Raw genomic sequence first — 26573 nt, 5'->3', positions numbered from 1 at the left:
GTGACTGCCTGATACTGTGACCAAAAGCACATGTTGTTAGAGGCTGATCTACATGTATCACTAGGCTGCTGTTCTTTAGACCATTATACAAAGTGGCGACCTGGATATTAAACTTTTTTTTTTTCTAAGATGGAGTCTCACTCTGTCACCCAGGCTGGAGTGCAATGGTGCGATCTTGGCTCACTTCTACCTCTGCCTCCTGGGTTCAAGCGATTCTCCTGCCTCAGCCTCCCGAGTAGCTGGGATTACAGGCACATGCCACTATGCCCGGCTAACTTTTGTATTTTTAGTAGAGACGGGGTTTCACCATGTTGGCCAGGCTGGTCTCAAACTCCTGACCTTGTGATCTGCCTGCCTCGGCCTCCCAAAGTGCTGGGATTACAGGAGTGAGCCACCGCGCCCCGCGGATATTAAACTTTTAACTGAATGACGATAAGCTTGCAGACAGAATTATTTTTGGCTAAGTCCAGTTTCCTTTAGGCTTTGTTCCTGTGGCTATTGTTGACAGCATAAGAAACTGTCTGGTGAAAGTGCAGGAAAGAATTCAAGGATGAGCTGGTACTGCTAGCAACTTTTATTGAAGCAGCAGTGTGCGGCGGCGGCGGCGGCGGCAGCAGCAGCGGTACTGTTCTTTGCACAACAGGGCTACCCCACAGTCAGTGTGCCCAGAGTAGCAGTTCAGAGGCAGTTCTGCACTCATTTATACCCACTTTTAATTTTTAATTTTTTAATTTTTTCTCTGTTCCCTGTAACTTTATTATAATAAATAATCCAGCACCCTCACCCCTCACGTGGGAGAACTCTGAGTCATGTTCTTCACTGTCTCCCAGAGGCCCCCAGTGGGATTGAGCCCCAGTTGCTCACACTCATAAACTGCTCATTTTTCCTTTCTTGTCTCCCTTCCCCTATTCCCCTACTTGTTCTTTCTTTCTTTTTTTTTTTTTTTAATTACACTTTAAGTTCTGGGGTACATGTGCAGAACATTCAGGTTTGTTACATAGGTATACACGTGCCATGGTGGTTTGCTGCACCCATCAACCTGTCATCTACATTAGGTATTTCTCCTAATGCTATCGCTCCCCTAGTCCCCCACCCAATGACAGGCCCTGGTGTGTTATGTTCCCCTCCCTGTGTCCATGTGTTCTCATTGTTCAACTCCCACTTACGAATGAGAACATGCTGCGTTTATACCCGCTTTTTAGAATATGTAAATTAAAGGGCAGATTATGCAGAAATTTCTAGGAAAGGGGTGGTAACCTCTGGGTTGTCAGGTCATTGTCATGGAAAGGGGTGGTAACTCCCAGGTGTTGCCGTGGCAATGGTAAACTGACATGGCACTGTGGTAGGCGTGTGTCTTATGGTAAGCTGCTTCCACCCTGTCCCTGTTTTAGCTAGTCCTCAATTTGATCCAAGCCCTGCCTAGAGTTGAGTCCCACCTCCTACTTCATTTTGGCCAACATTCTTCCAACTTCTGGTTGGAAGAAGTTCTACTCTCTGCTTTTGTGAGTTCATGTTTTTTAGATTCCACATATAGGTGAGATCATGCCATATCTGTGTCTGGCTTATTTCACTTAACACAATGTCTTCCAGGTTAATCTAGGTTGTTGCAAATGACAGGACTTCCTTTTTAATAAATGTCTCTTTTAATTGAAATTTTGAGATAATTATAAATTCACATACATTTGTAAGAAATAATATAGAGAAATCCCATTTACCCTTTATTGAGTTTTCTCCAATGGTAGCATCCTGCAAAACTATAGTACAATGTCACAACCAAGACACTGACATTGATAAAACCTACCTTTTTAAATTTTAATTTTTGATTTTTTTTTTTTAAGAGACAAAGTTTTACTAGGTCACTCTGGCTGGAGTGCGGTGTTGCAATCACAGGTCACTGTAGCCGCAAGCTCCCAGACTCAAGCAATCTTGCCTCAGTATCCTGAGTATCCTGCCTCAGTATCCTGAGTAGCCAGGACTATAGGCATGTACCATGACACCTGGCTAATTAAAAAAAATTTTTTTTTTGTAGAGATGGGGTCTCACTATGTTGTCCAGGCTGGTCTCAAACTCCTGGCCTTAAATGATCCTCCCACACTGATATCTCAAAGCACTGGGGTTATAGGTGCAAGCCATTGTGCTTGGCCCTTCCTTTCTTTTTCAGATTTCTCAAGTTTTATTTGTACTTGTGTAAGTGTGTATTTTGTTCTCTATGATTTTATCACGTGTTGGTTCACACACCCACCACTGCAGTCAAGATCCTGAACAATTCCATCACTGCAAGGATCCTTCATGTTGATCTTTTATAACCACACCAACTTTTCTCCCTCCTGCCATACCTTCTATTCCTAATCTGTTATCCATTTCTATAATTTTGTAATTTCAAGAATGACAAATGGAATTATACAGTCTGTAAGCTTTTGGGATTGGCCTTTTTCATCAGCATAATTTTCTTGAGGTTCATTCAAATTGCTGCATGTATCAATAGTTCATTCCTTTTTATAGCTGAGTAATATTCTCAGCAATAAAAGGTATGTAGGTATGATATATGTATGCACTACTGTTTGTTTAACCCACCTGTTAAATGACATCTGGACTGTTTGCAGCTTTGACTATTACAAAAAAGGCTGCTGTAACAATTTGTGCAAACATAAGTTTTTTTCATTTCTCTGGGATAAACGCCCAAGAGTACACTTACTGTGCTGTATGGGAGTTGTATATTTAGTTTTATAAGAACCTGCCTGTATTAGTTTCCCATTGTTGCTGCAAACTTGATGGCTTAAAGAAAACACAAATTTGTTCTCTTGAAGGTCTAGAGGTCAGAAGTCTGCAATGAGCCTTACAGGGTCAGCAGGGGCTAATTTTTCTTCTGGAGGCTCCAGGGGAGAATCTATTCCTTGCCTCCTTTAGCTTCTAGAGGCTGTTTGTGGTTCCTTTCTCCATGTGTAAAGCCAGGTTTGTAGCGTCTCCTCCTCTCTCTGACCTCCTGCCTTCCTCTTAGAAGGACTCTTGTGATTATATTGCACCTATATATCTACCTAGATAATTCAGAAGAATCCTGTCATCTCAAGATTTTAACTTAATTACATCTACAAAGTCTCTTTGGCCATATAAGGAAACATTTTCAAAGGTATAGGAGATTAGGACATGGACATCTTTGCGGGGGAACGATTCAGCCTCCCACACTGCCAAACTGTTTTCCAGAGTAACCAAACCATTCTACATTTCCACCAGCAATGTACGAGTGATTTTTTTTCCTGCATTTTCACTAGCATTATTTGATGTTGCCACCATTTTTCACTGTAGCCATTCTGATTAGGTGTGTAGTGATATCACATTGTGGTTGGCTCTTATTTGCATTTTCCTGATGGCTAATAACATCAAACATTTTTTCATGCTCTTATTTACCACTGTGTGTCCTTTTCATTGAAATATCCATTCATGGGTTTTGCCCATTTTCTAACAGATTTTTAAAAAACAGAATTTGGAGAATTCTTTACAATTTTAAATACTAGCCTTTTGTCAGGTATGTGATTTGCGAATATTTTCTCCCAGACTGTAGCCTACTTTTAATCCTCTTCACATTATCTTTTGAAAGCAAAAGTTCTTAACTGGATAAAGTTCAATTTATCACATTTTCCTTATATATATCATGCTTTTTTTGTGTCAAGTCTGAGAACTTTTTGCCTAGCGCTAGACCTGAAGTTTTTCTTCAATGTTCGTGTTTCTAAAGTTTTATAGTTTTATGTTTACATGGAAGTCCATAATCAATTTTGAGCTAATCTTTTTAGAAGAAATAGATATTTTTAATAGAAAAAATTAGGTGATATGTGCCGATTTTAATATCTTTTGGGTCCTGAAGACTGTATTGATGATGACACTAGTTTAGTAAGACTGTTAGTTGGTTCCAATGTAGCTATGTACTTTGCAGATAAACTGTGCCTGATGGCAGGTTTTTTTTGTTTTTTTGTTTTTTTTTTTAATGGAGTCCCACTCTGTCACCCAGGCTGGAGTGCAGTGGCACGATCTCGGCTTATTGCAACCTCTGCCCCCCAGCTTCAAGCAATTCTCTGCCTCAGCCTCCCGAGTAGCTGGGACTACAGGTGCACGCCACCATGCCTGGCTAATTTTTGTATTTTTAGTAGAGACGGAGTGTCACCATATTGGCCAAGCTGGTCTCGAACTCCTGACCTTGTGATCTGCCTGCCTTGGCCTCCCAAAGTGCTAATGGCAGGTTTTGACAGCAGAAAGAAATCCAAAATGTTCCTGATTACCCTGGGCATAGTCCTGGGCCCTTTTTCATGTGTACCTGTAACTTTGTAGTTCCTTTCTGAAGAAAACTAATGAAAAAGATTCTGTGACATTTTGAATCTATGACATCCTACTCAATTTGTTTTGCTATGGGCTTGAGTATTTTAACTGATGTCTCATGAGAAAGCTCTGTGAACTGGTTTAATTTTCTTGGTACTGGTTGTTTCAGTACCCAATTCTTCTGGTTTTGAAAGAGGGAAGCGCCCTTTTCAGTGGTTAAGCATCTAAGTTCCATGTCATATTGTTGGACTATGGCTAGAAGGTATTGCTGAGGCATGTGATAGAATGAATTTTGGAAAGGGATCAGGAAGAGATTGTAAAAGCTTAAAGATATTATCTTGAAGGATAAGACAAAAACATAAGGTTTACATATATTAATGCATATCAATATTAATGCTGAATGGTAATAACAGACTGGTAGAGGGAACAATCCGATGCCTTTGACTCCATCCCAGGTTACATAATAAAGAAGTAAACATAAACTTGTATCTTCCTCTGAAATATTCAGGAGCATTCACTGTCATCAATTCAGACAAATTCTTTTTCTGGTTATTTTATATTACAGATTTCATGATGGATTTTACATTCTGCATATGGGAGAAACAAATCCGATAGAATACAATGTATGTACTCTGAGTTTCAAAAAGCCAGTGTGGAAAGTGGAGTGGCTTTTGTAATAAATATAGCAACTGTATTGGTAAAGATAATTATAGAGCAATTCTACCCTTAGCCCTTGAAGATAGATTCCACTGAAATCAATGGAATTACATGCATGGATCAAAGATTAGAATGTTGATTAATTTTCACAGGTCAAATTAAATCAGCCCACAAACTAGAAGCTACATGTGCTGGAAGAGCTGTTTTAAAATACTGTATAGAATCATATCTTTATATTTTTGCAAAAATTATTAGTTTTAAAGAGAATATTTTATACATGTTATTTTGTTGTCAAAAATATGATAAAATAGTATGAATATTATTGCACACATATCTTGAAAACTATGAACGCATAATTTCAAGAACCTGAGTGATGTATCTATTCTCCATAATTGTAGCTTGATTGTAGATCACCAAACAGGAATAAGCCTCCAAAAGTAAAGAAGATACTATTATAGTTAGCATTTTCCTTCAAAGCAAAGAGGGGAATGAAGGCAGAAAACCTCGGTGTTCTTGAGCTAACAGTGAAGTTTCCTCCTTTCACTTGGTCTCAACTTAATGTGCTAGTCGTTCCTCATTCTCAGTCTTAGAGAGAGCACAGAAATATTATATGACATGCAGACTCCTTCATTAGATGGCAGCTCCCTAACACTATGTGTCCAGATTAGGTGGGACCAGATCACACCTTCTAAATATCCTACTTAAGATGTGAATCTAGAGCTAAAGAACCCCAAATAAAATATCCTGTGTGATGTTAATGACTCCACCAGGGTCTCTGCTTTTGTCTTTTTGGATAACTTTATCATATTTTCTGAACTTGCCTCACCATCTTTTGCTTGTAGACATTTCCATGATAGACATACCCTTATAATTTTATTTTTGTATAGTTTCTGCAAGCAGAGTTTGTATGAATGAAGTGGGACTGTGTCCCTGCCCAATGATTGAGTGTGACAAATGTTCACGTTAGCCTTAAAGGGCCCTTCCTATGGCTTTGTGTGGCCATTTGGTTGAGGGCAATGTTTGACTTCCCCGGTCCCTCCTTGCAAATTAGTAGCTCCCTTCTGTGAATTTCCTCAGCACTTTGATTCTCTCTTAGAGATTTTCTGAAGTTACCTTGATATAATAGCCATGTATACACCAGTCATCTTTCTTAGTAGACTGGAAGCTTCTGAAGGGCTCATGCCTTGTCACAGTTACTTTTGCATCCTCACATGGCACCTGATTGGTGCCTAGAGCAGATTGGGCACAGGATAACTGTGGACAGGTCGTGTGTATGTTTTCCGCATATTCTGAAGTCTGAGTGAGGCATGTATGCTACTTAGCTGAGCTGTGTATGTTGTAACATTTTAATGATAAGAATTTTATTAGTCTAGATTATGGCTTTTAGATCAGTGTGTCTGCTATCCTTTTGACTAAATTCTCTGCATTTATGCCTTCGAAAAGAGAAATTCCTATCTTCTGTCTTTGCTCTCTTGTTTTTATTTCTTAGGATACAAAACATGCTAATTGGTGCACTTCTTGCTAATCATTACTTTGTAACTAATCATCAGAGACCTTAAATTGAGAAGAAAATGTGTAAAATTCATGCCCTGAATTTGTTTTGAGGAGGTCACTCGGGTATTTTCCTAAAAACAGAAAATTGCAGTCTTAATCCTTTTATCATTAATATTAGATGGTCCTTAGGATCAACATATTATATAGTGAGCATGAAGAAACAGCATAATATTCCTACAGAGAAATTATCTTACAAAAAAGAGTGCCTCCAGTTTTCATGCACAAGTGTTGTATAAATCCAAAGTATGATTATTATTATTTTATGTTTTTAATTATTATTAAAAATGGGTCTATAAAGCCAGGAAGTTTTATGTTTTCCAGGAAAACAGGAAACAAATCTGGTTTTACTAATCATACCTAGTAGAAAGCTACTAATTTTCTTCCAAAAATAAAATAGAATTGCAAGTGGGTATTTAAAAAATGCATTAAAATGGCAATGTGCGCATAATTTAAATGAGCCAAGAGCCTGCTAATTATTCTGGCATGTGTTCAGTTACTTTTGTACTATTTCTCCTCTAATGTAAACAAGAGAATTCCTCCTAATTGCCCAAAATAGCTTTTAGTAGGTATTGGTTTTTTCTATTTTTGTATAAAAACTACAGTTTGCATGTTTAATAACTAGACACAAAGTGTGATTATTTAGAATTTTTCTCTAAAAAGAATACACTATTACCTATATTTTTCAGCCTTTAAAATCAAATTAAGGTGCTAATTAAGCTATTAATTTACTAGAGCAGAAAATAACTATACAATGTGTATCTGGAGGAATAAATGGCCTCATGTGCATCCAAATGAGGTAAAAGTGGGCTCAGACATACTCATGTAACATAGTATATGAAGCACAATGTGTAGTGAAGAAACCAGGCCCTTCTCTATAGTATTCTTGATCATTATTTTCTGGACATGACATTGATTTATGATTATATTCTTCTTCACAGCTCAGGACCGTTAGCATAGGACTAAATAAACACTGCAGCCTTATTCCTTATTTTTTATTTTTTAATTTTTTTGAGACAGACTCTCGCTCTGTCACCAGGCTGGAGTGCAGTGGCGCAGTCTCGGCTCACTGCAACCTCTGCCTCCTGGGTTCAAGCGATTCTCCTGCCTCAGCCTCCCTAGTAGCTGGGACTACAGGCACACGCCACCACTCCTGACTAATTTTTTGTATTTTTAGTGGAGATGGGGTTTCACCATGTTGGCCAGGATGGTCTTGATCTCCTGACCTCATGATCCGCCTGCCTCAGCCTCCCAAAGCCCTTATTTTTAAATCAGTTTGTCATATATTTATGAAACGTAAGTGAGTTATTTCACATCAAGTTTATTAGAACAGTATTCTGCTTCCTCCAGTATGTTGAACTAAATACACAGCTAGAGCAAGGATAAAACATATTTATGTTGAGTAACAGGATGTTGGACTGAAATCCTTCCCCTTGAGGTTGACTGAAACACCAATATAATAGATACCAAAGAGAATGTGAATATTTGGAGAATGCACTCCATGACGTGGTAGACCAATAATATGAAATGTGGTTAGCGCAAGGAGAGAGGAAAAGCATTTAGTGAGGAAGCATCTTTGGAGAAAACAGTAAAGTCCCACTTCCTCCCCCGACACAGAGGGAGATACTTTCTTCTTCATCTGAGGTCTACTGAGGAGGACTACCATGGTACCTGGAGACCTTTGATATGTGGGCTGGGGCTTGACTCTGATGTTGGAAATCTAGAGGGCAAGAAAAGAGCTGACTAACCACTCTCTTGGCAAACATGGGAAGGGGTTGGCCTAGGGTTTCTTGTGTTTTGTTTTTTAGCAAAGCCTGTCTCATTGTTTCAAAGGGACTACATGTGGGTGCTGAGAGCCAGCATGGGTTCTCTTAGAGCCTGCCACCTGGAAGAAAGTGATTTCTGAAGATAGAAGCTGGTTACGTAACGCTGATGTACAAAAATGAAGAGAGGAATCATGCAGGATCATTCAGGCTAGAAATGCACCTACCTGGGGCTAGATGTTGCAGGAGAAAGGAGTACAGTGATAGGAACCTTTGAAGAGCTCATGACCCTCAGGGCATGAAGATATCAGTTCACAGAATATTTTATCATTTTCCTGTCTACCATCTTCCTGCTTTGACTTTGAGGACATGAAAACAGCTGGGAGAGGGAAGGGGAAGGGGGAGAAGGGAAGCACAAGGCAGTAAATAAAGGAAGAAACTAATCAGCCACTCTTTCTCATTGTAGGCTTTCAGCCTGAAGCAGAACCAAGCTGGGGGAGGAGGAGTTTTACTGTAAGTCAAGCCCAGAGTTATAATTGTTATACAGAATTGGACAATCTAATTTCTGAATCAAGATTGTTTTTCATCCAGGCTCAGGGAAACTTTACTCCTGCTAAATAAAGCCTAATGGAACAGTGGGAAGAAAAAATAAAGTTGTATTTTGATTACATTATATCTGCTTGAGTAACATTGTAATTTCAAATGCAGTGCTAGGTTTGTAGGAAATGAGAGAAATATCCAACGGTGTTAAAAAAAAGAGAGAGAGAGAGAGAGAATACTTTGTTGAAATCTGAAAAGGAGATGCAGTGAGCAGTAAGCAAATGCAATCAGGACACTAAGCTTTGGGCTCAACCCAAGGCCAGTGAATGGAACCTGGAAGGAAATAAGGCAGCTGAGGTCTGGCGCCCCCTGGCCCCCAGTGGAAGCAAGGATAAAGCTGCTCTGGAGGAAGTCAACCTCAATTAGCCCCTCAGGATTCCATAGATGAAGATCTACCAAACATGGGCTCACCATCGAAGATCACCAACATGACAGAAGAAAAAGCCTCTGTCTCACCATGGGGAGAGTCAGCAGAAACAATAAACGAAGGATTTAGAGTCCTCATGAATTCTGATTTTGGAATGATCAAGATGTAGAATATCAAACAATTATGTATACCCAGGTATCTCACAGAAATGTAAAGCAATAAGGAACTACCCAAAATAAGCAGGAATCTATAAAAGAAACCACACAGAATTTGCAAAATAGAAACAGGCTTGTTTGTACTAAATTGTCTTTCACTTTTTCTATCTCCTTGTTTTCTCTGCTGTATTATGAGTACTTTTAAAAAAATCCATATATCAATAATTCTCTCTTCAACTGTTTACTGTTTAACCCATTAATTAAAAAATTTTTAACTATTATACTTTTCTGTTTTGAAAATATTGATTCATTGAATCAGGTAGATCTTCCAAACATTTACGCCAAAATTACGTTCATTAACATCACCACTGATCTCATTAGAAAAGTCCAAGTATTGGGAAGCTGTCAGACCCATGGTGGCAAATACAAATTTTCTAAAATTCTAATTTTTGCTTAAAAACTTGAATTTTATCATTGGCAACAAGTTCTGTTGGTTGTTTTCCTTGAAGTTACAGGCTCACTTCGTTCCATTTTGAGAAAATGTCTGCCAATTATCCAAGTCTGAATAGCCATAGTTCATCTGTCAGTCATCCTTTTAAGTAAAAATAGTGTTCCATGAAAAAATCGGTTACGTCAGCTTGCAACTCAATCACAAAAGTGTTTTTCCTTGAGAAAACGATCATACTTCAGTATTCAGAAGAAGTGCCTTTTGTAGTTCCCATTTTGTCACAGAGAATATTAAAAAGACATTGCTTAAAGGTCAAGATTTAATAAAATTAATATATATTTTTTCTGCTTCACCAAGCACATTGTTAAGCATAACTGACATTTTAGAAATTTACTGTGAGTGTGCGGCAGAGAAGAATGCAAGGTTACCAGCATCATTTGGTGCCACTGTCTTGATTCATGCTAAGTCACCAGATGTTTGAACCCACCATTGCTTCTGCACCACCAGTGTACATGTCAACACAGAGAAAAAGACTAATAACATCTTGGTATTATTATGAAAGTAGTTTTGACCTTGTGGGCCCCAGAAAGGGTCTCAGGGTCCCTACAGGTCCATAAACTACACCTTGAGACTACAATTCTGAAGGAATAAGAAAAATGCCTCCGGGAGTAAGGTCTGAAATAGAAGAAGGTCCGGTGGGCAAAAAAAGTTGGTAATCTAACAAATCTTATCTATCTAAAACAATAATGTCTTCCGTGGGGATTAAAAAATTAAAGTTAAATGATAGACAACAGTAACATAAATTGCAAAGGGTAAAAATAGCATGCAAGTTGGGGGGGTTGCCTAGGAGTGACACTTTAGAATTTAACTTAAATATGAAGGAAAAATTTTAAGGATGGAAAATGGCCAGTTAAAGATTATGGATTGAATGTATGCATTCACTTCACTCCCTCCCCCAAATTATAAAAATGACAACCAATGGATGTTTTTTAAAAGATATAAACCTATAAGAAAAGTGAGGAGACAATAGCAGTCAAAAGTAGGAAGGTGGAAAGCCGTTGGATGAGTGGTAACTGATTTTGACCACCTGGGAAAACTGAGCTCCAAGCTTGCAAGAGAAGTCAGCAGAAAACATATGACAGATTCAAAACTCATTCATAATTTTAAAAATTTGCATGAAGCTAAATATTGAAGGACAATTCCTTAACCAGGTAAAGGGTATCTAAACCAAACCAAATCAAACCTACAGTGAACATTATTCTTTTTTTCTTTTTTAACTTTTTCTTTAGGTTTGGGGTACACATGCAGGTTTGTTATATAGGTAAACTCATGTCACAGGGATTTGTTGTAGAGATTATTTCATTACCCAGGTACTAAGCCCAGTGCCCAATTATTTTTTTTGCCTCTCTTCCTCCTCTGACTTTCTCCCTACTCAAGTAGGCCCCAGTGTCTGTTGTTCTCTTTTTTGTGTCCATGTGTTCTCATCATTTAGCTCCCACTTATAAGTGAGAACATCTGGTATTTGGTTTTCTGTTACTCTGTTAGTTTGCTAAAGATAATGGCCTCCAGCTCCATACATTTTCCCAGGAAAGACATGATCTCGTTCTTTTTTATGGTGACATAGTATTCCATGGTGTATATGTACCACATTTTCTTTATCCCATCTGTTGTCAATGGGCATTTAGGCTGATTTTTGTCTTTGCTATTGTGAATAGTGCTGCAATGAACATTTGCATGCATGTGTCTTTATGGCAGAATAATTTATATCCCTCTGCATATACTCAGTAATGGGATTGCTGGGTCAAATGGTGTTTCTGATTTTAGCTCTCGGAGGAATTACCACACTGCTTTCTACAATGGATGAACTAATTTACACTTCCACCAATAGTGTATAAGTTTTCCCTTTTCTCTGAAACCTTCCCAGCATGTGTTATTTTTTGACTTTTTAATAACAGTCATTCTGACTGGTGTGAGATGGTATCTCATTGTGATTTTCATTTGCATTTCTCTAATGATCAGTGTTATTTGAGCTTTTTTTCACATGCTTTTTGGCTGCGTATATATCTTCTTTTGAAAAATGTCTGTTCGTGTTTTTCACCCACTTTTTAACGAGGTTGTTTTTGTCTTGTAAATTTTTTAAGTTCCTTCTAGGTACTGGATTAATATCTTTGTCAGATATATGGTTTGCAAATATTTTCCCCCACTCTGTGTTAATTAATTAATTTAATTAATGCATTAATTAATTAACTTATTAATACATTAATTAAATTAATTAATTAACATATCCCATGTCTGTTGATACTTTCTTTTGCTGTGCAGAAGCTCTAAGTTTAATTAGATCCCATTTGTCAATTTTTGTTCTTGTCACAATTGCTTTTGGCATCTTCGTCATGAAATTGTTGCCAGTTCCTATGTCCAGGATGGTATTGCCTAGTTTATTTCCAGAGTTTTTATGGTTTTGGGTTTTACATTTAAGTCATTAATCCATCTTGAGTTGGCTTTGTATATGGTGTAAGGAAGGGGTCCTGTTTCAATCTTCTGCATATGGCTAGCCAGTTATCCCAGCACCATTTATTGAATAGGGAGTCCTTTCCTCATTGCTTGTTTTTGTCAGCTTGGTTGAAGATTAGGTGGTTGTAGGTGTGCAGCCTTATTTCTGGGGTTTCTATTCTGTTCCATTGGTCTATGTGTCTGTTTTTGTAGCAGTACCATGCTGTTTTGGTTACTGTAGCCCTGTTGTATAGTTTGAAGTCAGGTAACGTGATACCTCCAGCTTTGTTCTTTTTGCTTAGGACCTTGGCTATTTGGGCTCTTTTTTTGGTTCCATCTGAATTTTAAAATAGTTTTTTTCTAGTTCTGTGAAAGTGCCACTGGTAATTTGATAGGAATAGCATTGAATCTGTAAATTGCTTTGGGCAGTATGGCCATTTTAGTGATACTGATTCTTCCTATCTATGAGCATGGGGGATGTTTTTCCCTTTGTTTGTGTTACCTCTGATTTCCTTGAGCAGTGTTTTGTAATTCTCATTGTAGAGATCTTTCACCTCCCTGGTTAGCTGTATTCCTAGGTATTTTATTCTTTTTGTGGCAATTGTGAATAGGATTGTATTCCTGATTTGGCTCTCAGCTTGGGTGTTGTTGGTGTATAGGAGTGCAAGTGATTATCGTACATTGATTTTGTGTCCTGAAACTTTGCTGAAGTCGTTTATCAGCTGAAGGAGCATTTGGGCCAACATTATGGGGTTTTCTAGATATAGAATCATGTCATCTGCAAACAGGGATAGTTTGACTTCTTATCTTTCTATTTGGATGCACTTTATTTCTTTCTCTTGCCTGATTGCTCTGGCCAGGACTTCCAATACTAGAACATTATTCTTAGTGAATTATAGAATATTATTCTTGGTGAAATTTTGGAAGCATTCTTTTAAGAACAGGAAAAGGCAAAAAACTTCCACCATTGTCAGTTTTCATCAACATTTTATCGGATTTTCAGTAAGGCAAGAAATAAATGAGTCACAAATTGGTCATTGCAGATAATATGACTGTCTACCAAGAAAGTTCAAAGAATCTATAGGCTTCTTATGGAATTAATGAGAGGATGGTTGGATATCATATTGTTGTATAAACTTTTTTGCCATCAACAAATAGAAAGTGCAACAGAAGAAAGAAAATCTCATTTACAATAGCAACAAAAAATATGGTACTTAGGAATAAATCTACCAAAAGATGTATATGACCCCTTTGAAATAAATTATAAAACTTTATAGAAAGACATTAAAGAAGATCTAAATGAGTGGAGAGATATACCATGTTGATACATTAGAAGACTCACTATCATGAGACATTGATTCTTTCCACAGTGATTTATAGCTTCATTGGAATTTTAATAAAAATTTTCAACAGGGTTGTTTTTTTGTTTCATTTTTGGTGGAACTTGAAAAGCTGATTGTAGGCTGGGCACAGTGGCTCACACTTGTAATTCCAGAACTCTGAGAGGCCAAGGTGGGAGGATTGCTTGAGTCCAGGAGTTAGAGACCAGCCTGGGCAACATGGTGAAACCCTATTTCTATAAAATTAAAAAATTAGCTGGGCGTGGTGGCATGCGTGGTGGTGTATGGTGGTGGCACACACTGTGGCTTCAGCTACTTGGGAGGCTGAAGCAGGAGGATTACTTGAAACCAGGAGGTTGAGGCTGCAGTGAACCATGTTCATACCATTACAAGCCATGGCATCTCATAGCAAGTGAATTCTATGATTCTGTGACTTAGGGTGAGTTTTTGTTGTTGTTGTTGTTAAACTGTATGGTCCTAGTAAATGTCAGAGCATAGCAGCCTGAAAATTAGTACAAATTTTATAAGTGAACTTTTGTGAATTCTACTCTGGTTGGCATAGTTTTTCCTCATCTGATCATACACTCAACAGAGTGGAACTGAGACAGAGCAAGTGAATTACATGGATGCAAATAGCACTGCTATGAAAGAAACTTAATGACGAAAGGTAGAATCCTAAGATTTGAGTAAGCTTCATTTCTGGAAGGGGCTGCTTTTTACAGGGAGTGTTTTAGGACACCATAAATGAGGGAAATAGGCTTTGGGCCAGGAAAAATTGGGGGAAGGAGAGTCTAGGGGCACATGTACAAAGTAAGCATAGTGCTTAAAGCCAAATGTTGAGAACTTAATGAAAGAGATTTCTCTCTTAGCTGTCTAATTCTGTAAAATCAAGAGTATCTCTCTAAGACAAACACCTTCCACCCGGAATTTAGGACGCCACAGGTCCCATAAAATTTGATGATATGGACAGAGTGGTAAAGCTTTAGGTGCTCAGGGGTTCACCTGAGTTTCCCCACAGGTATACTCTACAAAGTGTACTTATTCTCTCTATAGCTTGAGTTCCTGCCTGGAGAACACAACGTGTGTGTTGTTTCATTGTATTTGAGATCTCTAGACTTGGGAAGCAGTTGCTTGGTGAGCTGTGGCTCAGTTCAGGCTGTGATAATGTTTGCTTCAAAACCTGTGATAGCTTTTAATGATAACTGAGTCTCCTAGAGTTAAATGAAGAAACAGAAACCATATGGGAATAAGTAGAAAAAATTAACAGAAAGAGCTATAAGTATGCAAATACATTTTTATGAAAGTTGTTGAAGTATTTTAAAATTTCCTCTTATATCCCTCTATGAAATCCTTCAGTTTCACTACCACATTATTAATCTACAAGCCCCCCAACGTGTGTGATAGTGGTCACATGAATCACTATTGGTTACAGTCACCTTCACTGTCTTGGGGAATTCATGCACTCATTGGTTTATGTACTAGCTTACATAGATAAATTGTATTTTGACATCTCTTGCCCCAATATCTTATATTCTCTGCCAACCAAGGATTCTGGATCTCTAAAGGACATTTCTGCATGATTACAATTCTGTTAAGTAAAATAAAAAGGTTACATTGCTTTTTCCTATCAAAGAAATTGTACCAACAGGTCCCCAGTGCTATAGAACCATCCCACTGTGGAACTTTTAATTGACTTTATGTCTTCCTGATAATTCTTCATCTAGAACTGTACTGCCTACTATTACAGCCACTAAATAGCCACATGTGACTATTTAAATTTAAATTTAAATTAATTGAAATAAATGCAATTAAAATTTAAGTTTCTCTGTCACACTAGCCACATTTAAAATGTTCAATAGGCTCATGTGTCTAGTGGCTACTGAATTGGATAGGGCAGATATAGAATACTTTCATCATTGGAGGAAGTTCTCTTGGACGGTGCTTATTTAAAACATTTCTCATATTTATCTTGAGCTTTTAATTTTCTCTACCAACTAACCTAGGCAATACTCACAATACATCTAGACTTTTGCAACAAACACTATATGGTTTCTGTCTGATTCCTCAGTCCTTGCATCTACTTCCATGAATCGTCCAGAATCTCAGGGTCATACCTGGGCTTGTCATCATCCAGAATCACTCTGCCTCTGGCACTTTAAATCTAAGAACTAGTTCTCAGCTCCTTTTTTCCTGCTAATACCTGCAACACCTATTCTTCAGTTACACTGAGACCTGCAGTTCCTGGGCCTCTCCCTTTGTTCTCATTTGACTTCTTTCTTATTCAGCCAATGTCCATCTTTGTACATTTCTCTTGCCATTATCCTAGAATATATAAACCCTTGTCCTCCTGCTACATCCTCCTTTAGATCTCTGGTCCCATGTCAGGTAAGTGGATCAGGAAAACTGAGAAAATTATATGCAACTGAAGTTAGGTGCTCTATACTAGTGTTTTTTGAACATTGGATCACAGCTTATTGATGGATCATGAACTAAATTTAGTGAATTTTCAAGAACTAACATTATTTTGAACTGACAAATCATACTTGTATACATTTATGGGGTACAATGTAATGCTTTGATATATGTGTACAATGTGGAATAATTAAGTCAAACTAATTAACATATCCATCACCTTGCTTACCTATCATTTTTTATGGTGAGGCATTTGAAATTTACTCTTTGTTATTTTGAGATATACAATGCACTATTATTGACTGTAGTCACCCTGCTGTGCAATAGATCTAAAAAATTATTCCTCTTTTCTGAAACTTTATATCCTTTGATAAAAATTTCCCATTCCTTCCCTCCCCAATCCCTTAGCCTCTGGTAACCATTTTTCTACTCTCTACTTCTGTGAGTTCAACTTTTTTAGATTTCATATAAAAGTGAGATCATGTGGTATTTGCCTTTCCATGCCTGGCTTATTTCATTTAAATAATGTCCTCCAGGTTCATCCATGTTGTCACAAATGACAGAATTTCTTTTGTTTTTAAAGTGGAATAGCATTCCATTGTGTATATATACCACATTTTCTTTATCCATTCATCCATTAATGGACACTTAGGTTGATACCATATCTTGACTATTGTGAACAATACTGCAGTAAATATGGGAGGGCAGATATCCCTTTGAGATATGGATTTCAATTCCTTGGGATATATATGCAGAAGTAGGATTAGTGGATCATATGGTAGATCTATTTTTAGTTGTTTGAGAAACCTTCATACCGTTTTTCATAATGGCTGTGCTAATTCACATTCCCACCTATAATGTACAAAACTTTCCTTTTCTTCACATCCTTGCCAATACTTGTTATCTTTCATCATTTTGATAAAAGCTACTCTTAACAGGTGAGAGGTGATATCTCATTGTGGTCTTAGTTTGCATTTCCCTAATGATTAGTGATGCTGAGCATTTTTGCATGTACCAATTAGCTCTCTGTATGTATTCTTTTTTTTTTTTTTTTTTAGTAGGAGTTTCACTCTTGCTGCCCGGGCTGGAGAGCGATGGTGCGATTTTGGCTCACTGCAACGTCTGCCTCCTGGGTTGAAGCAATTCTCCTGCCTCAGCCTCCCAAGTAGCTGGGATTGCAGGAGTGTATCACCACGCCTAGCTAATTTTTTTTTTTTATTTTTATTTTTAGTAGAGATGGAGTTTCACCATATTGGTCAGGCTGGTCTCAAACTCCTGACCTCAAGCGATCCACCTGCCTTGGCCTCCTAAAGTACTGGGATTACAGGTGTGAGCCACCCATGCCTGGCCTGTATGTATTCTTTTGAGAAATATCTATTCAGGCTTTTTGCCCATTTTTTAATTGGGCTATTTGTTTTCTTGCTAATGAGTTGTTTTAGTTCTTTATATGTTTTGGATATTAACCCCTTGTTAGATGTATGATTTACACATATTTTCTCCCATTATGTTGGTTGTCTCTTCACTCTGTTAATAGTTTCTCTTGCTGTGCAGAAGCTTTTTAGTTTGATTCCATCCCATTTGTCTACTTTTGGTTGTGTTTCCTGTGCTTTTAAGGTCATATACAAAAAATGTTATGGAACTTTTTTGCCTATGTTGTCTTCTGCTAGTTTTACAGCTTCAGGTCTTACATTTAAGTGTAATCCATTTTGAGTTGATTTTTATATATGGTGTGAAATATAATCTAATTTTATTCTTTTGTGTGTTGATAGCCAGTTTTCCCAACACCATTTATTGACAAGAGTGTCCTTTCTGCATTGTGTGTTCTTGGCACCTCTGTTGAAAATCAATTGATCATAACTATGTGGATTTATTTCTGGGCTTTCCATCCTGTTCCATTGGTCGATGTGTCTGTTTTTATGCCAGTACCATGCTGTTTTGATTACAATTGCTTTATAGTAGGTTTTGAAATCAGAGAGTGTGATGCCTCAATCTTAGTTCTTTATGCTCAAGATTATTTTGGATATTAGGAGTCTTTTGTACAAATTAAGGACTGTTTTTTCCTACTTCTGTGAAAAATGGCATTGGCATTGAAATTTTGATAGAGATTGAATTGAATCTGTAGAAAGCTTTGGTAGTATGTATATTTTCACAATGTTAATTCTTTCAATCCATAAACATGGGATATTTTTCTATTTATTTGTGTTTTACAAATTTTCTTCCATTAGTGTCTTATAGTTTTCAATATACAAATCTTTTACCTCCTTGATTAAATTTACACTTAAGTATTTTTGTTGTTGTTTTTGATATTGTAAATTGTTGCTATTGTGAATTGTTCTTAATTTCCTTTTTAGATAGTTTATTATTAGTATATAGAAATGCTACTGATTTTTGTGTACGGATTTTGTATTGTGCAACTTTACTGAATTCATTTATCAGTTCTAATGGTTTTTGTGGTGGAGTCTTTAGGGTTTTCTATATATAGCATCATGTCGTCAGCAAATAGAGACAATTTCACTTTTTCCTTTCCTATTAGGATGCCTTTCTTTCTTTCTCTTGCCTAATTGCTCTCGCTAAAACTTCTAGTAGTGTGTTGAAAAGAAGTGGTGAGAGTGGGCTTCCTTATCTTGTTGCTGATCTTAGAGGAAAAGCTTTCAACTTTTGACTTTTGAAAATAATGTTAGTTATGGTTTTGTCATATGTGACCTTTATTGTGTTGAGATACATTCCATCTATCCCTAATCTGTTGAGGGTTTTTATCATGAATAGTGAATTTTTTAAAAAGTAAATAGAGTAGAAAATATTCATTTCAGAAATTAAGTGTAAGTATTGTTTCATAATTTTTAAAATTAGTTATTTACACATATATGTATGTGTGTGCTGGGCCATAATATAAAATGTATGTCTTAATGTAGAATAAAAATGTTTGACAGCTAATGCTGTATGTTGTCTAGCAGTTCTTCAATGTGCCCAATGCCTTCCACAGCTATTTAAAAATTTCCCTTCCATCTTCGACTCTGTTCTCTATTGCCTCCTTCACAACTCTTGGAGGTTTGCCTTCATTTTGCATTAAATAGAGGCTATCAGGTGAAAACTCCCTGGAAAAATTCTTCTCCTTCACCAAGAAATACACATCAATCTGCCCTTGTTCTTTCTTCTTTTTTATCTTAATGGGAGAGATGGTACCACTCTCTTATTGAATTGGAGCTCATCCTTTCCTTTTTCTTGGTGATTACTATGGTTTCAATATTTATGTCCCCTTGAAATTGATGTGTTGAAATCCTAACCCCCAAGGTGATGGTTTTAGGAGGTGGGGCCTTTGGGGAGTGATTAGATGACAAAGGTGGAGATCTCATACATGGAATTAGTGCCTTTATAAAAGAAGCTTGAGAGGGACCCCTTAAGCACCATGTAAGGACACAGCCGTAAGATGGCCATCTGTGAACCAGAGAGTGGGTCCTCACCAGATACTGAGTATCCTGGTGCTTTGATCTTGGACTTCCCAGCCTGCAGAACTGTGAGCAATACATGTATGTTGTTTATAAGCTACCGATCTAAGGTATTTTATTATAGCAGCCATAACAAACTGAGGCAGGAATCCTGTTGTTGCGCTTTTCACAGCCATCCCCTTGAAAGCTTCTGTGGTCTGATGTCAGCTCCTCCCTTTCACTGAAGCTGATCCTGTCCCTTACTAGTGACTTCTACATTTTCTGGTTCTTGCTTTTCCTCTTGGTGATAAGTCCTGTTGACCATTTCTTCCTTGTTCAAATTCTCCCCTCATTTAACTTCTGTGACACCATGTTTCCTCAATTTTTCTCCATCCTCCATGGTCATGCCTTCTCAGTGTTTCTCATGATTTCCTCTTCCTTTGGTTAACCCTTAAATGTTAGTGGTTTCTCGGGCATTCTGCTTGGATTTCTTCTCATTCTGTGAAGTTTGTGGGGCATGTCATTTAGACCCGTAGCTTCAGGCACCATTTGCAGACTAATTATTTGTGCCTATACCTCCAACCTAATGTTTAAGAAACATCTCCACTTGAGTTGTCCAAAGCATCCCAAAATATGACTAAAACTGAACTCATTATATTTTTCTCTAAACCTGCTTCTCTTCCAAGACTTTCCTTTTCAGTTTATGGTACCCGCCATCAATTGTTACTTACATATTTTTTAGCATTCCTCCCTCTTCATGCCCACACCTGAATAATCACCATTTCCACTTTCCTATCTCTCTTGAATCCATGTCCTCTTTATCCCAGTTCCACTCCCACCCTGGGCTCCCATCTTTTCCTGTTTGCATAATGACAGCATCCTTCTCATTGTCCTCCCTGTTTCTAATCTTACTCCTCTTTAGTTTTTCCTACTCTGCCATTGGAATAACTTTTATTTTTTGAAATTTGTAATAGGATCATACAGATAGACATTAGCATATTTTTGTTGTAAAAATGTTAAACAAAACAGTTGAGCAAGAAACGAAAGTCTCTTTTCCCCAATCCTGCTCTTCTCCAGAGGCAATCAGCACGAACAATTTGGTGTGCATCTTTCCAGTCCTTTTCGTATGCATTTACATGCACTTATTTCATAAACAAAAATACAGGATTAGATTTTGCATAAATGGGATTATACTGTTCATTCAAGTTCACTTTTTCTCTTAATATATCATAGCACACTTTCCATATCAGTATAAATATATCCACATAATTCTTTCAAATGGCTGCATTTTACGTAGCATAGGCTTAATTTTCTTTCTGCTACTAATGGACATTTAGATTATTTTCTTTTTTTGGTCGTTGCAGACAATGCTGATATAAAAATCTTTGTACATGTATTGTATCAAAATTGAGAGTGTATTTCTGTTGGGTAGATGCTTAGAAATGGAATTGCTGGGTCAAAGAGCATACGCATTTAAAATTTCAGCAGATACTGCCAAATTGACTGCCAAAAAGCTGTAGTCAATTTATATTTCCATAAAGACTATTCTGTGAAATTTTTATACCAACACCAAATATTTAACATTTGCAAATCCAACTGTAAAAATATTCAATTCTTGCTTTTATTTGCATTATTTTAATCAACAGTAATATTAAACATCTTTTCACATGTGTAGTGTGAAACATTTTGGTAAAATTCTTGTTTTATCCTTTGCCTATTTTAAAATTGGTTTGTCTTTTGCTTACTGATTTTTAGGCGCTCTTACAGACGCTTTCTCACAGTCTGTTGCCCCTTTCCCCCGTTTTTAAAGGTACCTTTTATTATATAAAAGTGAAAAATTTTAATATAGTCAAATGGTCAATATATGGCCTCTGGGTTTGATAAAAACCTTCCACTTCAAGATTATATAAAATTATCTTGTATAGTTTTGACTTTACATTTAGCTCTTTAATCTATGTGTATTTATTTTTGTGGAACATAGGTTGTAGGGATCTAATTTTTGTTTCCAAATGGTCAGCCAATTTTACCAATGCCATTTGATTCACAACAGAAATTATGAATATGTGTCTATTTCTAGAATCTCTGTTGTCCTCTGTTGTCTATACTACATATTTTAAATATTAAAGCTTTCGCTTTGAAGCCTGGTATGGAAAATACTGCATGAATGTTTTTTTCAAATGTATTCTTGTATGTTTTCTCTTCCAGATGAACTTTGTAAAAAGCTTGTAAGTTTCATAATATAATTATGCTTGCATCTTCATTGAGATTTATTGGATTTATAGATTTATCAGGTAGCTTTACAGTGTTGGGTTTTCCCATTCAGAAACATGGTATATTTCATTTACTTAGGCCTTCTTCAGGGTATCCTTCAGCAAATTTTTATATTTTCATTTAGATGAGTTGTATGCATTTCTTGTTAAGATTGTTTCTGAGTATTTCCTAGGTTTTTCTGTTTCTGTAAATTTTTTTTTTCTCATTACATTTTCTACTTGGTGATGCTGGTATATAAGAAATTTATTGATTTTTTGGTTTGATCTTGGATTCAGCCACTTTAGTGTACTTGTACTAATTATGAATATATTAATAATTTTCAGTTTATTCTATTACAATTTCCAACTTGACTATTATATTATCTTCAAATAATGAATGTTTAATTTATTCTCTTGAGATATTTACCACTTATTTCCTTTTTCTTTCTCTCTCTCTCTCTTTTTTTTTTTTTTTTTTTTTTGCCTTATGAGGCAGGCTAGGAAGTTGTGCAAGAATTTTTGTTTGTTTGTTTGTATCCCAGCATCCTACAGTGCCTTGATCAATTGATTGATTTTTTTTTGAAATTATCTCTCCTCTATTGTAGGCAGTCATTGAAGAAAGGTAGATCCAGGGGTCCCTGTTTTCCTATCATGGAAGGAAGGGATCTTGGACATTTCTTTCATTAGATCTTTTCTGTCAGTGATTCTGCACATCCAAAGGGAAGGCCCATGGTCTAAGCTTAGTCAATTGGATTTACTGTCCTAGGACTATGGCTCTTGAAGAAAGTATTTCATGTGTAAGCAAGCAAGAACAACTAGAATTTATTATTTCCAGAAACCAGGTAATTCCATGTCTGCTTTTGAGCCTTTTCTCCAGTCTTCTGGTTGATTTTGTGAGCTTTCTAAAAGCTTTCCAATAAATTCTCCTTTTGGGGGGATTAAATTAGAATTGATTTCTGTTTTTGCTCATTCAGTATGATATTGGCTGTGGGTTTGTCATAAATAGCTCTTATTATTTTGAGATACGTCCCATCAATACCTAATTTATTGAGAGTTTTTAGCATGAAGGGCTGTTGAATTTTGTCAAAGGCCTTTTCTGCATCTATTGAGATAACCATGTGGTTCTTGTCTTTGGTTCTGTTTATATGCTGGATTACGTTTATTGATTTGCATAAGTTGAACCAGCCTTGCATCACAGGGATGAAGCCCACTTGATGATGGTGGATAAGCTTTTTGATGTGCTGCTGGATCCGGCTTGCCCTCTCTCACCACTCTTATACAACACAGTGTTGGAAGTTCTGGCCAGGGCAATCAGGCAAAGGGTATTCAATTAGGAAAAGAGGAAGTCAAATTGTCCCTGTTTGCAGATGACATGACGGTATATTTAGAAAACTCCATTGTCTCAGCCCCAAATCTCCTTAAGCTGATAAGCAACTTGAGCAAAGTCTCAGGATACAAAATCAATGTGCAAAAATCACAAGCATTCTCATACACCAATAACAGACAAACAGAGAGCCAAATCATGAGTGAACTCCCATTCACAATTGCTTCAAAGAGAATAAAATACCTAGGAATCCAACTTACAAGGAATGTGAAGGACCTCTTCAAGGAGAGCTACAAACCACTGCTCAACGAAATAAAAGAGGACACAAACAAATGGAAGAACATTCCATGCTCATAGATAGGAAGAATCAATATCGTGAAAATGGCCATACTGCCCAAGGTAACTTATAGATTCAATGCCATCTCCATCAAGCTACCAATGACTTTCTTCACAGAATTGGAAAAAACTACTTTAAACTTCATATGGAACCAAAAAAGAGCCTGCATTACCACGTCAATCCTAAGCCAAAAGAACAAAGTTGGAGGCATCATGCTACCTGACTCCAAACTATACTACAAGGCTACAGTAACCATCACAGCATGGTACTGGTACCAAAACAGAGATATAGACCAATGGAACAGAATAGAGCCCTCAGAAATAATACCACACATCTACAACCATCTGATCTTTGACAAACCTGACAAAAAGAAGAAATGGGGAAAGGATTCCCTATTTAATAAATGGTGCTGGGAAAACTGGCTAGCCATATGTAGAAAGCTGAAACTGGATCCCTTCCTTACACCTTATACACAAATTAATTCAAGATGGATTAAAGACGTAAATGTTAGACCTAAAACCATAAAAACCCTGGAAGAAAACCTAGACAATACCATTCAGAAAATAGGCATGGGCAAGGACTTCATGTCTAAAACACCAAAAGCAATGGCAACAAAAGCCAAAATTGACAGATGGGATCTAATTAAACTAAAGAGCTTCTGCACAGCAAAAGAAACTACCATCAGAGTGAACAGGCAACCTATAGAATGGGAGAAAATTTTTGCAATCTACTTATCTTACAAAGGGCTAATATCCAGAATCTACAAAGAACTCAAACAAATTTACAAGAAAAAAAAACAACCCCATCAAAAAGTGGACGAAGGATATGAACAGACACTTGTCAAAAGAAGACATTTATGCAGCCAACAGACACATGAAAAAATGCTCATCATCACTGGTCATCAGAGAAATGCAAATCAAAACCACAATGAGATACCATCTCACACCAGTTAGAATGGCAATCATTAAAAAGTCAGGAAACAACAAGTGCTGGAGAGGATGTGGAGAAATAGGACCACTTTTACACTGTTGGTGGGACTGTAAACTAGTTCAACCATTGTGGAAGACAGTGTGGCGATTCCTGAAGGATCTAGAACTAGAAACACCATTTGACCCAGCCATCCCATTACTGGGTGTATACCCAAAGGATTATAAATCATGCTGCTATAAAGATACATGCACTTGTATATTTATTGCGGCACTATTCACAATAGCAAAGACTTGGAACCAACCCAAATGTCCATCAATGATAGACTGGATTAAGAAAATGTGGGCCGGGCGTGGTGGCTCACGCCTGTAATCCCAGTACTTTGGGAGGCCGAGGCAGGTGGATCACGAGGTCAGGAGATTGAGATCATCCTGGCTAACACACTGAAACCCTGTCTCTACCCAAAATACAAAATATTAGCTGGGTGTGGTGACAGGTGCCTGTAGTCCCAGCTACTCAGGAGGCTGAGGCAGGAGAATGGCAGGAACCTGGGAGGCGGAGCTTGCACTGAGCTGAGATCGTGCCACTGCACTCCAGCCTGGGCGACAGAGCGAGATTCTGTCTCAAAAAAAAAAAAAAAAAAAAGAAAGAAAAAGAAAAAAAGAAAATGTGGCACATATACACCATGGAATACTATGCAGCCATGAAAAAGGATGAGTTCACGTCCTTTGCAGGGACATGGATGAAGCTGGAAACCATCATTCTCAGCAAACTATGGCAAGGACAAAAAACCAAACACTGCATGTTCTCACTCATAGGTGGGAATTGAACAATGAGAACACTTGGACACAGGAAGGGGTACATCACACACCGGGGCCTGTCGTGGGGTTGGGGGAGAGAGGAGGGATAGCGTTAGGAAATATACCTAATGTAAATGACGAGTTAATGGGTACAGCATACCAACATGGCACGTGTATACATATGTAACAAACCTGCACGTTGTGCACATGTACCCTAGAACTTAAAGTATAATAATAATAATAAAAAGAATTGATTTCTGTTGCTTGCAACCCAAGAACTCTTATTTGATACATTTTCTTTGTCCTGTTCAATTAGAATGCCTCCAATATTTCACCATCCAAAATGATTTATGTGTTTCTGATAGTTATTTAGCTTCTATCCAGAAACAAAATTTTCTTTCCATTCCTACCTCATAAAAAGTTTTTTAAAATGTAGAATGTGATTTTTAGTTCAAAAGATTGCTATATTCACAATGCATTTTGAATATTAATTATTATTAAAATGGGGAAATCCTGATATTTTCCCCTTTGTTAATGAGATTTCTTAATGTTGAATCATCTTTGCATTCCTGCAATAAGCCTTATTTGGTTTATGATATATTTTCCCTCCCTCCCTCCCTCCTGTCTTCCTTTCTCTCTTTCTGGGTTGCACTCTGTCACCCAGGCTGGAATGCGGTGGTGTGATCCTGGCTCATTGCAGCCTGACCTCCTGGGCTCAAGTGATATTCCCACCTCAGCTTCCTGAGTAGCTGGGACTACAGGTGTATGCTACGATGCCCAGCTAATTTTTTGTATTTTTTGTAGAGATGGGGTTTCACCATGTTTCCCAGGCTGATCTCAAACTCCTGGGCTCAAGCAGTTCACCCACCTCAGCCCCCCAAAGTGCTAGGATTATAGGTATCTCTATTTTCTTAATCATTATCTTTAAAATTTTTATCCCATATATTTAAACAAAAATTGCTTTCACCCTGCCTTTAGAGGAGCAACATTGTCCAATATAAATTTCTGCAATGATGAAAATGTTCTATATCTCTGACACTGTCTTGTACAGTAACCATTAGCTACATGTGGCTATTGAGTACTTGATGTGTGGCTAATATGAGGGAGAAACTGAAGTTTCACTTTTATTTAATTTTAATTAATGTAAATTAAATAGCCAAATGTATCCACTGACTACTATTGTATTAATTTTCTTGGGCTACCATAACAAAATACTATAGACTGGGGGGCTTAAACAACAGAAATTAATTTTCTTACAGTTCTGGAGACTGGAAGTCCAAGATCAAGGTGTCGGCAGGTCTGGTTTCTTCTGAAGCCTCTCTCCCTGCCTTGCAGATGCCTCCTTCTCACTGCGTCCTCACATGATCTTTCCTCTGTGTGCTTGCATCCCTGGTATCTCCTTGTGAGTCTTAATCTCTTC

At 37.4% G+C, this 26573-nt stretch overlaps 1 long non-coding RNA gene across 3 annotated transcripts in view; it reads left to right on the top strand.

Moving 5' to 3' along the window:
• Positions 1 to 26573, top strand: part of LOC105375490 (uncharacterized) — a 104836-nt gene that overhangs the window by 75735 nt on the left and 2528 nt on the right. For all 3 annotated transcript variants that reach the window (XR_007060511.1, XR_001745352.2, XR_001745351.2), the window contains 2 exons: positions 4874 to 4931; positions 8350 to 8792. This is a non-coding gene — a long non-coding RNA (uncharacterized LOC105375490). The remainder of the gene's footprint in view (positions 1 to 4873; positions 4932 to 8349; positions 8793 to 26573) is intronic.

Source organism: Homo sapiens, chromosome 7 (genome assembly GCF_000001405.40).
Source record: "Homo sapiens chromosome 7, GRCh38.p14 Primary Assembly".
In the NCBI taxonomy this organism is placed as follows: Eukaryota; Metazoa; Chordata; class Mammalia; order Primates; family Hominidae; genus Homo; species Homo sapiens.
Note: the sequence above shows the minus strand (reverse complement) of the source record. Positions and strands in the feature narration are given on the sequence as shown.